This window comes from Homo sapiens, chromosome 2, assembly GCF_000001405.40.
Source record: "Homo sapiens chromosome 2, GRCh38.p14 Primary Assembly".
Classification (NCBI taxonomy): domain Eukaryota; kingdom Metazoa; phylum Chordata; class Mammalia; order Primates; family Hominidae; genus Homo; species Homo sapiens.
Window position 1 is genome coordinate 237,621,501 of NC_000002.12, and position 14,109 is coordinate 237,635,609.

The following is a 14,109-nucleotide window of genomic DNA, read 5'->3' on the forward strand; positions in this document are numbered from 1 at the left end:
CATGGATTCTGGATAAGTTAGTACACAAATCTTGAGGCCCAACCTTCTATGGTCCCTCTTCTCTGGGATCTTCCCACAATTTCCAGCTGCACTTATAGCCCCAGACCCAGACATCTAACTCCTCGGTCCAGTCATTCTCAAGGCCTCCCAATGTGCCTTGCAGGCTGGGGTATGTCCTCTGGGAAAGCAGACGTCTTCTTATTTACTTCTCTTCCTTCAAAGGTTGTGTCCACTCCAGTCCCAGTGTGCATTTGTTTACTCTCCACGGCCTCCAGAGGGCTGTTTTCCAGACTTTGTTTGAGGTTCATGATTGTTAGAAGGAGGGTTAGTTTCCTATAATGTTTATCCCCATTGCTGAAAGTCCTGTAGCTGAAAGTCCTGTCACTTTTTTTCTTAACCAATTGAATTAATAGTTAATAAATCCCACGTTAGGTGAAAATTGATTACATTGCTAGTCAATAAGTACCTACATTTGCATCATTACTCTTCCCCAAGTAAAAAGAAAATTGGTTTTCACATCCTGTTTGATATAGTACCTTAAGAAAGGACTCTTCATTCAGTCAAGCCACATTTTCTAAGCATCCAGAATAAGGCTCTCTGAGGGACAAAAAGGCAATCTTGGTCCCAGCTCTCAGGAAGCTACCCTAAGAGAGCTACTTGAAGGTGCTCTAGGGGTTTGGCTACAGAACTGGCACTGTGTGCCAAGGACCCACCACCCTCAGCGAGCTTCCCAGAGGCACACATGGCATGTGATCATCCCAAGCCTGACATCTTCCTACCAGGCACTTTCCTGCTGCGAAATTCCTGGCACCCAGTAGCACTTAGTGAAGGTGAAATTTTATGACAATAACATTTAAAGCAAATAATCTCACAAACTTCAGCACTGTGACTATCACTCATCACAAGTGAACTGATGCATTTCGCACCTGCTTTTACCCTCCAGAACTGCTGCAGCAGCCGCCCTAGAGCCATTCTGCAGTTCTGATGCACAGCATGATGGAAGCATATTGCAGAAGATTATTCTGGCTTTTGTAGATAGTGGATTAAATTGGGACAGTGTAGAATGGGAATTCAGATAGCCCATGGATGGACTTCAAAATATCACCCTCTAAAATTGGACTCAAATTTCATGTTCAGATGCCCGTTTTCCCCACTGCAAGAGGAATCCAACTTTCATCAGATCCTTGCATCAATTAAACTTTCTTTACTGCAAAAAAAAAAAAAAAAAAAAAAATGAATTCCTGGTCTAGAACCCTTTTTTTTTTTTTTTTTTTTTTTGAGAGGGAGTCTCGCTCTGTCTCCCAGGCTGAGTGCAGTGGCGCAGTATCAGCTCACTGCAAGCTCTTCCTCCTGGGTTCAAGCAATTTTCCTGCCTCAGCCTCCCGAGTAGCTGGGATTACAGGCATAAGCCATGGCACCTGCCCTTAGAACCCAGATGTTTTTGATAATGGAAATGATCCGCAAGTATTTTTAAACTCCCACAAGTATTTGCATATTTATGTACAAATTATGTTCCTAGTTTATCATCATTAGTTAATAAATAAAGGCACAATATCCACTTAGAATGAAGTTAATCATTAATGATAGGAAATGTAAATTAATGTTTAAATAGTTTTGATGGTTACTAAACGTTCTTATCCTGTCTAATAACCTTATACTGAGGCCAGTGAAGACCTCCTGCCTGAACTAAGAAACAAGTCTCTCATTTTCTTGTTTATTTGTGGCTTTTGGGAATCTTTTAAATCTTTTGAAGCCATTTATCTACTCTTTGAGTTTTAGTTAAAACTAGGTTAGGCAATCCATAAATCCTTTTAACCTGGTCCACCGAAATATATCAAAATATGCAGAAAATGATGTAATGAGAGAGCACGCCACTGCCAGCCCCTGAAATGCTTTGAGTGAGTGACCGCTTGAAATAAGCTTATAGACCAAAAATTAGTAACATTGGATTTCTAATTTTTAGTTGAAGATATATATAACAGAAATTCTATATTTGCTTCCCCTACCCCATAGATTGTCTCAGACACCCTACCCTGGAGACACCAAGTCCAGAAGGTGACTTATGCTAGTAATCCACAGATGAGGGATAAGGGGGACCAGCTGCAGAGCTTGGTGGTATCAGCAAACATGCCAAAGGAGGATCAAAATGATCAGATAGAGATGAAGGAAAAGACCAGCTGGGTATTTGATCAGATTTAGTAGAGAAAGGAGAAAGGATTTCAAAATGGTTCCAAGGTTTTTACTCCAAAAAACATGAAAAAGTTACTGGAAGTGATGGTGTCCTGGGAAGGAAGAGGCATTTATTGGGGCAGGCATCATCCACTGATTTATTTTGGAAGTGCTGTGATTGAGCTACTGAAAGATGCACCTGAAAACGTCCAGCAGGACAAAGGAGACACCATTCACCTCCTGAGCAACACATAGACCCTGACCTCAGCCAGCCCCACTTCTGGGCAGAGTGCTGGCTCCAAGTTCCATGCGTGAGAGATGGCTCTCCTCTACGGGTCCTTCAGCATTCCTGGGGGGGGGCTGCAGTTCTCCTGCCCTGCTCCAGCTGTAATCCAAAGCAGGGCTTTCCATCCTCTGGGAACTGGAAGAGCAAGGCTGGAGTGCTGGTGAAAGAGGTTTGAGGTAGGCCCACGCGGATGATGCTCTCAATGGACCCAGAGTGAGTCACGTTATGGCCCACATGATGGCTCAGATGGCTCTCTGCCTGAGAAGCTCTGAGTCCTCATGCAGACTGGACGCCCCTCCGTAGCTGCTCATCAACTTCCTTTCCCAGCCAGCCCCCAGGGCTTGCCCACTGAGCTCCTGAACCAAGGCAAACTTGCGCTGGGGACGGCGCCGCTGTGTGGTTTCCCTTGCCAAGGCTTCCCTGGCTGCCTCCACTTTCTCGTGGAGGCTTCCTGAAGGTGGCATCTGTATTTTTGTGAAGGGACTTGGTACCAGGCTTGGAGATGAACATGTTAATTCTCTGGCCCTGGACATCAGATCTGTGATATAGTTTCTCAATTTCCTGCTCTGAAGTAAGCCCTGGTGGGTAGTGTCACCATCTGGAATAGGAAAAGGGCTAGATGGGAGGGGTCAGTAGTGCTGGTGGCAGAGGCCAGTCTTCTCAGTGGAAACAGGCTCATGCACTTCCACGCAGGGAGGGCCGACGGTCAAGGGTGGAGGAAAAGCCACAATTTTTCGGTGAACCCATGGATCAGCATGATGGAGTCTTGCAGGTCTTTATCTTCCTCCAGGAGGCACCCCAAGCACGGAGAAGACCCACCAAGCTGCCTGATACCTCTGTCTAGCTCCCCTCTGCCCAGACAGGAACTGCTGTTCACCATTCATTCCAGACCTGGGCCTTTGAGGACAGGAGCTGTAAGGATGATTGATCGATTGCCTGTGTGTGAAGCCCTGGAAGGGCTCTTGCCTAGAATACTGTCCCTACCCTGACAAGGTAGAGGCCATGGTCTGGATGGCGGTGGCCCCCCCATTCATATGTCAAAACCTAACCCTCAATGCAAGGTGGGGCCTGCAGGTGACCAGGTCCTGAAGCAGAGACCTCATGAACGCGATGAGTGCCCTTACACAAAAGCCTGGAGGGAGCCCGTCTTCCACCATGAGATGACACACAGAAGGCACCATCTGTGAGGAATGGGCCTCAACCAGACACTGATTCTGCTGGAGGCTTGATGCTGGACTTCCCAGCCTCCACAGCTGTGAACAATACATTTCCGTGGTTTTATAAATGACCCTGTCTAAGGCGTTCTGTTACAGCAGCACAAAGGAACTAAGACAGTGGGCACCCGTATTTCCATTTAGAGGCGGAAACTGACTCTGAAGTGAGAACCGGTCCACTCTGAGAGCACATCGCCAGGGGAAGAGGACTGTAGCCAGGAAGTTGTTATGTCATGGGGTCATGGGAGGACCCAGCAATGTTGTTTCTGATGATTTCTGAAAGGCGGCTCTTTTCTGGAAGTGGACAGATGATGGGGGAGGGGCAGGAAGCTGAATTCACCACAGTGTCCGAGAACACTGTCTACCAGCGGGAGCTGTTCAGACACACCTCTGGCCAGTCCCCACGGCAGTGAATCTCCTGTCTCTGGACAACAATCCAACAGGGAAAGTGGGGAGGAGGGTTGGGAACTGAACTCTGTTCCACAAGTTCAACCACTGCACTCCACTAAGCAACTGGCACAGCCAGTCCCTGGTGAAGGCTTAAAGATGAGGAAGATGGGGTCAGCGCCTGCCCTCCTGGCCTCAACACATCAGGATGGAGGATTTAGGTGTTAGCAAAAAGTGGCTCAAAGTTCCAATGAAGGACAGGGAGCAAAGGGAGACTTCTTTTAGAAAGGAGACGTTGGAACTTGGATATGGCTTTAGTTAAGGAGCTCCAGGCATCTCAAGTCAGCCCTGAGAGGCAGCAGCCGTGTCTGCCTCTCGGACAGCTATGCCCCAGCCTCCAGCTCAGCAGCTGGCAGGCAGCAGGTGTGGGTGCAGGAATGAGTGAACTCATGGGGACCAGCCTCGGCAAAGACGCACAGTCCCCACAGTGCCCCAGGGGCTGGGAAACAGTGAGCAGCCACCAGCAAGACCAAGGCAGTGCAAGTGGCCACGGCTCAAGGTTTCCCCCAAGGAGGACTATGTCACTTAAGGAGTATGGCCTCTGAAGTAATGTAAATATGGCCTGGAAGATTCAGTCAACACCTATTTCCTTAGTGCCTACAATGTGCAGGTGCAGTTTCTGCTCCCGGAGTTCAGTCATGAACAATGCCACAGTCAGCCCTGCCAACCCACCTGCGTCAGCTCAGGCACCCAGAGCAATGTCACCTGGATCTGCCCTCCCTCCCATGTCACTGGACTCGCTGTCTTTTCCCTGCAATGAAACCTCCAACAGCTTTCCCTGCCACTGTGGGTGGAAGGGCCCTCTTCCTCTTCCCACCTTCATACAGCTTCCAGGCCACCTCCTTAAGAATCCAAAGCAATCTGGTCACACCACTTGGTGGGAAATACACCGAAATGTTAACTGTCCTTATCACTGGGGGAAAAAAATCACAGGTGACTTCAGTACAGCCTCCTCTCCTCTACCATCACTACCCTCCCTCCCATCCTTCCCCAGGTCCAGCCACACTGAAGTTCTCCCCATACCCCAAACACACCAGTAACTTTCCCACCCGGTGCTCCTGCCGTGCCCTAGGCAGGGGCTTTTAACCCCTACCTAATCCTCCGATTTGCTTTACTTTTAAATCCACCTCTGGAGCATAGACTGTGAGCTTCAGAGAGCACAGGTAAGTTCATTACTTTTTCAACAACTAGGAGAGAGCTGCGACGCACCTGCCCCGATCCTAGAGGCTGGGGACCCACCAGAGAAGTGACAAGTCCTTGATCTCAGGGGGCAGACAGCGGGGAGAAGGATGGATGCTAGCACGGAGAACACGCGTGTAAAGACAGAAACGCACACATCCACACCATGCCGCTGTGAAGCCGGCGCCCAGGAGGCTGGCCAAGGTCACAGGAGCGGCGGTGGCGGGCGGATCCGAGCACCTCTCGGCCTGACCCCAGAGCCTAGCTCTCACCCCGGCGAGGGACTTCCACCCCGACTCACCGCGGAATGGGGAGCGCCAGGCTGAACCAAATCCTGTGCTCACCCCTCCGTGCAAACCCCTCAAGGCAACTCAGGCCTCTGAAAGCCTTCCTACCCCCCCGCTCTCCGCTCAGGTCCCCACTCAACCGGTGCCCACCGCCCTGGCGCGCGTCGCTCCGCGATTACCGGCCCGCCAAACAGTCCCCGCAAAGTCCACCCTCCGGGGCTCCCGGTCCCTCAGGTCCCGCGTGCCCGGCCCTGGGCATCCGCAGCGTCCCCGTGGTATCGGACCCCCATCGTCCCTGACACCTGGCGTCTCCGCCCCCCGCCCCCGTCCCCCGCCCCGCCGTCCCTGGCCCCTGCAGTCCCTGGCCCGCGCTGCGGACCTCCGGCTCTGGCTTCCCCCGGGTCCCCGCGGCCCCCGTCCCCCCGCGTCCCCGCGTCCCCGGCCCAGCGCCCGCTGACGCCATGACGCCGCGGCGGAGGGAGGGGCCGGGGCCGGGGCCGGGCCGGGGCGGCGCGAGCGGCTGGAGCAACGGGCCCCGCGGCAGCTGCGGGCGACGCGGTCGATGGACATGGGCACCCAGGGATCGGGGCGCAAGCGGCTCCCCAACCGGGAGCGGCTCACGGCGGAGGACGACGCGCTCAACCAGATCGCGCGGGAGGTGAGCGCTCCGGGAGGGCAGCCGGGGGGCGCCGGGCGGGCGCGGGGGCCGGACGGCTGTCAGGGTCTCTCCGGCGTCCGTCTGTCCCGCTGTGCGTCTGTGCCACTGCGCGTCCGGCTCCAGGCGGGTGGGCCGGGCAGGCGCGCGCCGGGGCGCTGATCCCCAGGCGCTGCGCCCCGGCCCCGATCTCCGAGGCCTGCGGACCCCGCACCCGTTCTCCAGCCCCGGGCCCAGCCCGCGACGCTGCGCGCCCTCCCCCACCCCGGCCACCGTCGGCCGCTGCGCCCTCGGGAGAGGAGCCGGGCGCCGCCAGCGCGCGAGGTGGCCCGGGCTGGCCGGGTGGGGGCGAGCGCCCCGCTTTGTTGTGCGGCATGGGAGGAGGCGGGGGCTTAGGCCCGACCTGGAGGCAGTGGACGGTCGCCGGAGGCCACATGGCCCTGCTGAAATGGCCGAGTCGCTCAGGTGACCATTTGTCATCCATCCATCGATGTCACTCAAGGTGCAGCTCAGAGATGAACTTGGGGATCACTGTGATTTTTCTTTCAGGACTGAGCCTGGAAACGGGTCCAGGCACACTGAAACGTCTTCATTAAAGTTTCCTGGACAGAGTTTATTGTAACTAAGATCATGTTTGGTGATGAACTTTACCTGTGACAAATTGAAGGCGCACTAGAATGGGTATTTGTACAAATGCCTTTTTTTTTTTCCTTCCGCAAGGATTCTACCTTAAGGCTAAAGAATGTACATGACATCCAGAAAGCCGTACAGGGACAGAGAGCAGCAGCTTGGGAAAAGGGGAGCCAATAGGTTGCGGCCCCAGGGGGACAAAGGAAGCTTAATTTTTGACTGTGTTCCCTTTGTACCATTTGAACTGTGTGCCAGGTGGGTGTATGAATGCAAAGAAAGTCTCTGCCTTGTAACCCGCCTTACAGGTTCTTTTCCGTGTTGGCTTTTCCACATGTGATTCTTCCCACAGGAAACACCTCCAAGCCATTTGGACTGTGGTGTCTGGCTGTATCCGTCAGATATTCTGGGGGATCTACTCTGTAACCAATCCTTAGGTGTTTGTAGTTGTAAATACCTGATTTTGCTCTTACGGACATGTGGCAGTCACTCAGTATTTGTTGACTACTGAGTGAATAAAGACTTCTGTTTTTCTCTGTATGATACAGAAAAGGGCTTTCCAGGCAAACCCTTATTCATTCCTGGAAGCCCACTGTGACCTCCAGGAGACCTTCCAGACTCAGCCCTCTCACATCGCACCAGGCCTAAGTCTCCCTGGCTCCACGGCCCTCCATGGCATGCCCGCGCCTGGCATGGCAGTCAGGATACCTTATCATTATTTGTCCACCTGTAGAAGGTGACACCCAGACAGGAAATATCTTACTTTTGTATCCCAAGAGCTCAGCACAGAGCCAGGCACATACTAGGTGTTTGTCTATGTCTGTTACATTAATTAATAAACAAAAGAAGTACAAGGCATTTAAAGGACCTTTGGCTAAATATAGACATTTGCTAAATATAGTAGCTTGAGTATAACTCCCTCCTGTGAAGACAGTCACTTATGTATGCATTTGACCACAGTGCCTTACAAGTGTTCCCTGCAAGGGCCAGAGGTGGCCAGTGAATCGCAAGCCTTGTCTTGATGTCAGTGGTTATGGGGCAGAAGAATGAGAAGAATGAAAATTTCCAGAGTTTGCCTTTTATCCACTGGTGTTTCTTTCTTCTTTTTTTTTTTTTTTTTTTTTTTTAACACAGTCTCACTCTGTTGCCCAGGCTGGAGTACAGTGGTATGATCTCGGCTCACTGCAACCTCCACCTCCCAGGCTCAAGAGATCCTCCTGCCTCAGCCTCACCAGTAGCTGGGATTACAGGCACGCACCACCACACCCGGCTAATTTTTGTATTTTTAATAGAGACGGGGTTTCACCGTGTTGGCCAGGCTGGTCTCAAACTCCTGGCCTCAAGTGATCTTCCCGCCTTGGCCTCTCAAAGTGCTGGGATTACAGGCGTAAGCCACTGCGCCCAGCCTATCTGCTGGTTTTTATAAAATAGATTGAAAAGGAAGGCAAGGGAACACTCCTTGGGTTGAGAGCCCTGAGGTCCTCCCTCCCACCGAGGGAGATGCAGTTGGAGTTACAGAGATAGACTTGTGAGTCAGAGCTGGGCTTTCAAATGACATAGTTCTTAGCCAGCTGTGCCATCCTAGGAAGGTGAGTTACTCACTCTTCTCTGGGCCTCTGTTTTCTCGTCTCTAAAATGGAGAAGAAGAAACCTCCCCTGGCTGTCAGAATTAAAGAAAGTGGGTAGCAATGTAAAGTATGTAACTAGGCGGTGGGTAAATATGAGAGCTTCTTACACGCCCCTCCCGGTAAAACCCAGCCGTAGGTGCAGCTGTTACTAGTGCTGAGTAGCACAGATTGATAGGGTTGGAGGGAGCAGGTGTGACATCTTATGTTTTAGTACAAATTAACTTCTATTTCTCAACTGTGAAAATGAAAATCACTATTCAAATGGCAAATATCTACTCCTTGAATTCATCAGGGTTCTTATAGAAATCAACAAAATCGTCTTGGGTTCAGTACTTTCTTATTCACTCATTGACTCAACAGATACAAGCCATGGTATCCAAATTCCTGTCCTGGGGAGACTGGAGAGTCAGGGAGGAACCCGGCGAGGACCTGCCTGCCCTCCAGGAGTTGGGTCAGAAAGGGGTTGACACCTGTAGATCAATAATGCTAACCGAAGACAGGAAGGGATCTGATATAAAAAGGGCGTAGACAGTGTTCTGAAGGTTTGGACATGAGAGAGAATCACAGCCGGCCAGTGGTCTCAGAAGTGGCTTCCTGGAGGAAGTGGCATTTTGAGTTCTTGAAGGCTGTATGTACCAGTCAAGATGCTTTGGCTGCTGGGACAGAAACCCTGACTGGACTGACATTGACAAGGGGAAGTATATTGGCTGGAGCACAGCAAGCCCGGAGGCAGGGCAGGATTCCCCGCCAGCCTCACCAGTGGCTCCGGCCTCTTTTTCCCACAGCACCTGCGCAGCTGGTTGGGCTGGGCCATCCTCTGTGGGTGGCCTCATCCTCAGGCTGACTTGCTTCATGGAGGCCAGCTGGCCTTGGCTTTCCCGGGCTGCCACTGTGGAGCCCACACACCGTCTCTTCTGGTGGCTCTCTCCAGAGAGCTAGCAGTATCTCCCTGGTAAACTTTCATGAGTCTGTCTGGCCACTCCTGCACCAAGCTCTTTGACAAGGACCATGGACTTAGGGGCTCAGTGCCTGTGGCAAAGGGGGGTGGGTCTACCCTGTGACCTGTCAGACTCATCCTGGGACTGGGGAGAGCCGGCCTCCCTGAAACACTTGGGAAGGTGGGGGCCTGAATGGAAACTGGGGAGGCTTCAAGGAAGTGGGAGGGAGTGGGCTGCCACTTGGGCCTGGCACCCAAGAACATGCCTTCTGGAGAGTAAGTGGAAAATTCTGGGCTGAGGTCATTGGGAAGCCTGAGTCACCTGGCAGGGACGTGGGTTCCAGTTCGCTGGAGCGAGGGGAAGAGCTAGGCTGCCCTGTGCAGGCAGGGCTTTGCACTCTTCTGGGTAGAAGCAGGACTCGTGGTGGGGGCAGCCTTTGGAGGGTGCATTTCTGCTTCTGCAGCCGGTGTCCTGCTTCCATGTGATGGTTTAAACTCTAGGCAAGCGTGTATAGTAAAGGGAGTTATTTGCAAATGCTGTATTATCGCAAGTCAATTATTTCTCACTCTCTTGTTGCAGTGGAATTCAGGCGGGATGTTATCAGGAGAAAGGTTTAGTACGCACTTGCAGAAGCTCATTAGCACCAAAGGCATGAGCTGCGCCTCCCACTTCTGGGGAGGGGTGTTTCCAACGCAGATAGATTTTCCTCTCCTACCGCATTTCACATTCTACTGGTGCATTTTGGTAGCATCCCAAACTTCTCATTCAGCACTCTGCAGCTGAGTAAAGCGATACTGGTCTCACCATGCAATTCAAAGTATTGCTCTCAAATGAAGAATGTTTTTCCCAACAGGAACAGTCATTTGCGCAGGCTGCATTAGGAACTCACCGTGGGGCCTTGAGACAGTGCGGTGAGCTTATTATCCCCTGGTGGTGCCATAGGTACCCCTTCCTCACCCAGCAGGACGGAGGCCCTCCCCCCATAACTGTTTCTGCAGCCTCCTCTCCAAGCTGGCCCCTCTGTGGCCTGCGGCCTCGGGCCCTGATCCATGGCAGGGGCACTGCTGCCCCACCCGGCTGCTTCACCGGCCCCAAGTTGACTCGTGGGCCTGCGGGTGCTGTTGGTTCAGGCCTCACAGCCACCGCCTTTCACTTGAGCCACGGCCACACAGGAGTCCAGTTGCGGAGAAGGGGTCGCACTGCCCCCAAGGAGTCCAGTTGTGGAGAAGGGGTCACACTGCCCCCAAGGAGTCCAGTTGTGGAGAAGGGGTCACACAGCCCCCAAGGACTCCAGTTGTGGAGAAGGGGTTGCATTGCCCCCAAGGCAGCCTGCAGCCATCAAGTAACCATTTTGTGAGGTCACAAAATGTCCCCCAGGCTTGTTTCAAGATGCAACCAATTCTGTGGTACGTTTCCTGCTCCGGAGCTCTCTGCGGGCCAGGCTGAGGCCAACTCCTGCCGAGACCACCTCCCTCCCCAGCCCTTCCCTGACTGGCCTGCCCCCCTCATGCCCCTGCTGGGACAGGGCTCACATCCAGTCCTGCCATGGGCTCTGCTTCTGGAACCCAACATAAAGCCATGCCCCTTGTTTCAGGTAGTTCGTAAATATCGGGTCTTTTCATCCTAAGTCCCCCTTTCATTCATCTTTTCTCCCTGTCCTTCCCAAATAGCCCTCCTATATCAACCTGTGCGGAGGGAGCCTGTCTCTCTTCTCCTCAAGGCTGTTGGAGAACCAAGCTGGGGATGGGGTGCACGTGTTCTTTTCCAGAACAGCCCAGAAGTGGGGTTCAGTGTGGAAACTTCGCTCTACCTCTCTCCAGCACTAACCTGACCTGGCTCCTCTGGGGTGGAGAGTCCAGGACTGAGCCCAGCTGCAAAGATGCAAATCTGGGTCCCCAATGCAGTCCCTTGCCCTCTGGTGAGGTGACCCTGGGGCCAGAATTCACCTGCACGCAACCAAGATGTCAGACTTGTCCCTAGGCCTATTTCACTTGATTTGAAAGTGAATTTCATGACTTTTTTCTCTATGAATTTGCTTTTCTGAGGCTGGCCAGCAGATTGCACACCAACTGAGTGCTGCTGGACACTGGTTTGCCATTGGGGCTGGGCCCTGCCCCTTTGTTCCACAGGAGTTGGGAGAGGTGAGGGGCGTTCAGTGCCCGGCAGGACACAGGACTGTCCAGCCTGAACAACATCCTGCCTCCAGTTGGAACCCAGCCGCAGTGGAGTCACTGAGGGCTGTTCTGCAGCTGATTCTCCTAAGCCAAACACCCATCTTGGCAGATCGTCTACAAGGTTTTAGGAATGTGACAAGACTGGTGTTCCAGACGGATTTTTACCAACAGTCTGAGCTGTTGGAGGGCGTGAACAATGTGCCTGTGACCTTGGGCTGTTTGTGCGATTCCCAAAAGATGCTTCTGGGTTTCTGAGTCCACAGAAAACTCAGCTGTGGACAGGCCTGCTGGTCCCCAACGGCCCTGGGCCCCACCCCACAGCTATTTCTGTCAGAGGGCCAGCTGTCTCCCTTCTTCCTTTTCTGGGTGACTCTTGAGCCACTCGTTGGCCTGGTACTCAGGGTTGGGATGTGTGTGTGGAGAACATGACCTGGCTTCTAGCCCTGCCTGTCCCCCGTGAGCCCTGCCCGTCCCCAGTGAGTGTGAGACGGGAAAGGAGAGAGGGGCGAATGGAGGTTGCTTCTAAGACCCAAGGTGTGCCAGGTACTCTGGAAGCTTTACTCCCATAGTTTGTTTAAATCCTGTGAAAAGAGTTCCGAGTCTCTCTGTTTGACAGAGAGAAAACAGACTCAGAGACACCATGGGACATGGCTGAGGCCACCTATTAATTAGGGGCTGCCAGTTCATGGCCCAGGCTGCTTCCTGGATCAGCCCCTCAGCTCCCTCCAAGACCCCATTCAGGCTATGTCCTGCAGGCAAGCCACCTTCTTCCTATCCCTGGCACATGTCGTCCCCCACTGACCTGTGAACCACCAGGGGTGACATTTCAGGAGAGAGAGTCCCATATCTGTCTCTGCCTTACTGTATCTCTCATCTTCTTTTTCCATCCTTTCATCTTTAAAAAATTGATTTTTATTTCATCAGAGTAATATATGTTTTTACCCATATTCTCAGGCCGTTCCCCACACAGTAGGCTGGGCAGTCCTTTTAAAATATGTCAGATCATGCCACTTCTCTGATAAAAACTTTCCAAGGGTGTCTTGTATCACTCCGTAAAACCCAAGTCCTTAAACAAGCTACAAGACCCTCAATGATCTGGTAATGATCTCCTTGTTTATAAATAACATACATATGTATTACACATTAGTTTATCAATTGCAGATGCTGTCAGCTGGCTCCTGCATTGAAGGACGGGACTTGGTGTGCATGGGCCCAGTTCAGGCCAGCTCCCTACTTTCCTTCTCTGCATCACACTATAGTTCATTGTAGTGTGGGGCTAAATGAATATTCACTGGCAGGACAGACTGCTTAAGAATATGGGTGCTAGAATCAGATTTCCTGGGTTCAAATCCTGATTCTGTCCCTTATACCATGACTTAGGGCAAGTTACTTATCAACTTTGTGCCTCAGTTCCCCCATAGGTAAGATGGGAAAGTTTTAGGAGTATACTTCACCCAGGGCAGTTATGAGGGTAAATGAGATCTTTCACAAAAAGACCTCTGAACAATGACTGTCACATAGTAAATGCTCAGTAAATGCTGGTGATGATGATGATCTTGCCAGCTGTGTAAATAATGTCAATTGCAGAGCCAAGCAGTGTACTATAATCTTTCTTTCCTTATACAACTTTCTGCTTCTTCTAGAGTTAATGATTTATTTTCTTTTTCATTGCTCATCTGCCTACATATCTAGCTTATCTATCTATATATCTACATATCTCCATAAAGTTTTCAATAGAACCCATCAAAATGCTATGTTCTATATGATTAAACAAAGCAGATAATCTATCAATTCCATTTTATTCTCCCATGGAAATCTACCCACTAGAGACCTCTGTCCTCTAGATCCAGTCTGGTCTGGATGTTCTCCTCAGGGTTTCCTGCACCTGCCATTCCCTCTGCCACCATTCTGAGAATTTCTTTTACCCCCTTTTTATTGTTGTTGTTAGGTCCCTATTTTCTGGATTCCATATTATCTGCCTTCTTGGATTGCTGTCTTATTTTGCTGGAACACATCCTTCAGTAGCTTTCGGAGCAAGAATGCCTTTTCTAAGTATTCACATGTCTGAAAATGTCTTTATTCTACATTCATACTTGATTGATACTTTGGTTGTGTATAGAGTTCTAGGTTAAAAATAATTTTCCAAAAAATGATGAACTCTGTGTCTTCTTTGACATAATTTCCAGTAAGTATTGTTAATTGGAAAAAGTAATATACAGAAAATAAAGATAGCATGCTGTTCCTTGTGTGAGAAAGGCTGCAATTTTCCTGCATTTGAATAAAAATCACTGGCAGAACACAATGAAAGGAGTGTGGGGATGGAGGTGGAAGCAGGTTGTCAAGTGCCACTCTTCATGCTCTTGATATTTGAACCATGTGACTGTATTAACTAGTCAATAAAATAAACTAATAAATATCAAAAAAGTAAAATTAGGAGCCAGGCATTATGGCTCACACCTGTAATTCCAGCAACTCAGGAGGCTAAGGTGAAAGAATAGCTTAGGA

General features: G+C 51.1%; 1 protein-coding gene across 29 annotated transcripts in view, besides 2 other annotated features; it reads left to right on the forward strand.

Moving 5' to 3' along the window:
* The first annotated feature begins 6,086 nt into the window (after positions 1 to 6,086).
* The window catches only part of LRRFIP1 (LRR binding FLII interacting protein 1), a 154,057-nt gene continuing 146,034 nt past the window's right edge, over positions 6,087 to 14,109 (forward strand). For all 29 annotated transcript variants that reach the window (NM_001137550.2, XM_017005257.3, XM_017005260.3 and 26 more), the window contains exon 1: positions 6,087 to 6,240. In NM_001137550.2, coding sequence (NP_001131022.1) covers positions 6,145 to 6,240 — 96 coding nt within the window. In that variant the 5' untranslated portion in view covers positions 6,087 to 6,144. The remainder of the gene's footprint in view (positions 6,241 to 14,109) is intronic.
* Positions 9,494 to 9,993: an enhancer, noted in NCBI's record as "H3K4me1 hESC enhancer chr2:238539637-238540136 (GRCh37/hg19 assembly coordinates)". NCBI's record gives its function as "activates a minimal SCP1, AML or CMV promoter by ChIP-STARR-seq in primed H9 embryonic stem cells {active_cell/tissue: H9 hESC(primed)}" and the evidence as "EXISTENCE:reporter gene assay evidence [ECO:0000049][PMID:30033119]".
* Positions 9,996 to 10,557: an enhancer, noted in NCBI's record as "H3K4me1 hESC enhancer chr2:238540139-238540700 (GRCh37/hg19 assembly coordinates)". NCBI's record gives its function as "activates a minimal SCP1, AML or CMV promoter by ChIP-STARR-seq in naive and primed H9 embryonic stem cells {active_cell/tissue: H9 hESC(naive and primed)}" and the evidence as "EXISTENCE:reporter gene assay evidence [ECO:0000049][PMID:30033119]".